Source organism: Homo sapiens, chromosome 12 (assembly GCF_000001405.40).
Source record: "Homo sapiens chromosome 12, GRCh38.p14 Primary Assembly".
Lineage (NCBI taxonomy): Eukaryota > Metazoa > Chordata > Mammalia > Primates > Hominidae > Homo > Homo sapiens.
The window spans coordinates 92936385-92939065 of record NC_000012.12 but is presented as its reverse complement, the minus strand read 5'-3'; the positions used below and the strand labels follow the sequence as shown (position 1 = coordinate 92939065).

The 2681-nt window shown below is 41.2% G+C and overlaps 1 annotated feature.

Moving 5' to 3' along the window:
- Positions 704-753: an enhancer, noted in NCBI's record as "active region_6755". NCBI's record gives its function as "activates an Ori minimal core promoter by ATAC-STARR-seq in GM12878 lymphoblastoid cells {active_cell/tissue: GM12878}" and the evidence as "EXISTENCE:reporter gene assay evidence [ECO:0000049][PMID:35858748]".

The following is a 2681-nucleotide window of genomic DNA, read 5'->3' as shown; positions in this document are numbered from 1 at the left end:
AAGACAAAACTACATGGGAATCCAATTATAATTGACAGTTTGGGGGTGTGTATTCAGAACAAGAGAAGGTAGTTGGAAGACGTACCTTACATTTTTGTCAAATTTGTCATGTGGCCCGGAGTGTTTTGAGTTTTTGACCCAAGGTCTCTTCTTCCCTGTAGTTACAGGGTTGAGTACAAAAATGTAGGTATACGTAGGCCATGTAGTTTCGTTTGGGAGGCAAGGTGAGACTTGCAGATGAGTAGGAATTAGACAAGTAACAGTAGGATGGGTGTAGGGAACATTCCAGGCATATGAAATAGCATATATAATGGTTCAGAAGTAAGGGAGAGACTATGATGAGCCCAGAAATGTGTAATAGTTCAGCATGCCTGAAGTGTACAGTGTAAAGAAAATAATGTCAGGCTGGGCACAGTGGTTCACATCTGTAATCCCAGCACTGTGGGAGGCCAAGGTGGGAGAATCATTTGAGGCCAAGAGGTTGAGGCTGCAATGAGCTGAGATCGCAGCACTGTACTCCAGCCTGGGCGACAGAGTGAGATCCTATCTACAACCAAAAAAAAAAAAAAAAAAAAAAAAAAAAGAAAAAGAAAAAAGAAAGGAAAACAAAGAAAGAAAGAATTCTTCTTCATCACCCTATTATGTAAAACACATAAAGATAAAAGTAAAGCTATACCAGCTAATGCAAAGGTGAATAGCACAGGGCCTCAATTGCTCGATTTTCTCCATCCACTGAGGTGGCTTCTGAGGACTCTAGGGCTTCAAGGAACACACTTTCAAAAACACTACACTCCACAAATTTAAAGAAATCTAAGCTCTGACTAATGCTGGGATGACATCTCTATACTGCACTCTAAATAACTTCACCTGACCACTGTTCTGTGGTGAGTAGGTCTATGCAAACCTACCCCAACGTCTGAGGAAGCTGAGAGGCTGAAGAAAGAGGCTGATACAACCAATTCTCAGAAAGAAACATTTAACAGGGATTTACAAAAAGAAGGCACAGTCTCAGATGTCCAAAAGGGAGATGGTGGACTCCCGTTCCATTACCCTTCAGACCCAGGGCTTAAATATCACAGGGAAAAAATGTGTAGCACAATTGAAGTTGACTTCCAAGGGGAAGGCAAGAATGCTGTGTGAGTCTGGCTAAGGTAGGATTTATGGTCAAGGTTGTTTTGACCTAAGGGAAGGATTCACTGTAACAATGGAAAAAGTAGAAATCTTAGAGGCCTTCCGGGAACACAGATTAATCAGATGTCAACATGGTGGATTAGCATCTAAGATGGAGTTGCTTTAGCTTCCACAATCCCACAGACATATTTCAGGAAATAGCTTCAGATATTAGTTCTGTTTCTAAAATGTACCCACACCACTTTTGTAATACTTTATATGTTGTATTACATTTTGTTGCTGCTCAGCTTGGGGCCCACAGGCAGGTCTTGCTTAGGAGACACTGGCATTCAAGAGTCACCCTGTTATCATAGATGGGAATTTTTGTTGTGCCACCTTTACATTGTCTATTTTGTACTCTACAAACTTGAAGTTTAAATGTGATAGACTTGGCTATTGCTTTTCATATATTAAAAGCATCATTTTTAAAATATTTATTTTATTTTATTTTTATTTTGAGACACAGTCTCACTCTGTCACCCAGGCTAGAGTACAGTGGTGTGATCTCAGTTCACTGCAACCTCCACCTCCCAGGTTCAAGTGATTCTAGTGCCTCAGTCTCCTGAGTAGCTGGGATTACAAGTGTGCACCACCATGCCCAGCTAACTTTTGAATTTTTAGTAGAGACAGGGTTTCTATGTTGGCCAGGCTGGTCTTGAACTCCTGACCTTAAGTGATCCACCTGCCTCGGTCTCCCAAAGTGTTGGGATTAAGGGCGTGGGCCACCACGCCCAGCCAAGAACATCATTTTTCTTTTCATTTATTTTAAAACATGTATTTATTTATTTAGAGACAATGTCTCACTCTGTCACTCAGGCTACAATGCACTGGTGCTGTCGTAGCTCACTATAGCCTCAAACTCCTGCATGCAAGCAATCCTCCTGCTTCAACTTCCCAAGTAGCTAGGACTACAGGTGTGTGCCACCATGCCTGGCTGATTTTTAAATTTTTATAGAGACAGGGTCTTGCTATGTTGCCTAGGCTGGAAGGGCATTATTTATAATATATCTTAAAATGTAATTATTGTCGACAAAAAGAGTCAAACTGTAAAATATTTTAAGAGATTTATTCTGAGCCAAATATGAGTGACCATGGCCCATGACACAGACCTCAGGAAGTCCTCAGAACATGTGCCCAAGGTGGTTGGGGTACAGCGTGGTTTTATATATTTTAGGAAAGCATGAGACATCAATCATATACATTTAAGAAATACATTGGTTTGGTTTAGAAAGGCGGGACAACTTAAAGCAGGCTATAGGTAAATTTAAATTTTCTGATTGACAACTGGTTGAGTTTATCTGAAGACCTGGGATTAATGGAAAGGAATGTTCAGGTTGAGATAAAGGATTGTGGAGACCAAGTTTTATTGTGCAGAAGAATCTCTCAGCAGACTTCAGAGAGACAACAGGTTGTGGTCAGGCATGGTGGCTCATACCGGTAATCCTAGCACTTTGGGAGCCCAAGGCAGGTGAACCAGCCTGGCCAACATGGTGAAACCTCATCTCTACTAA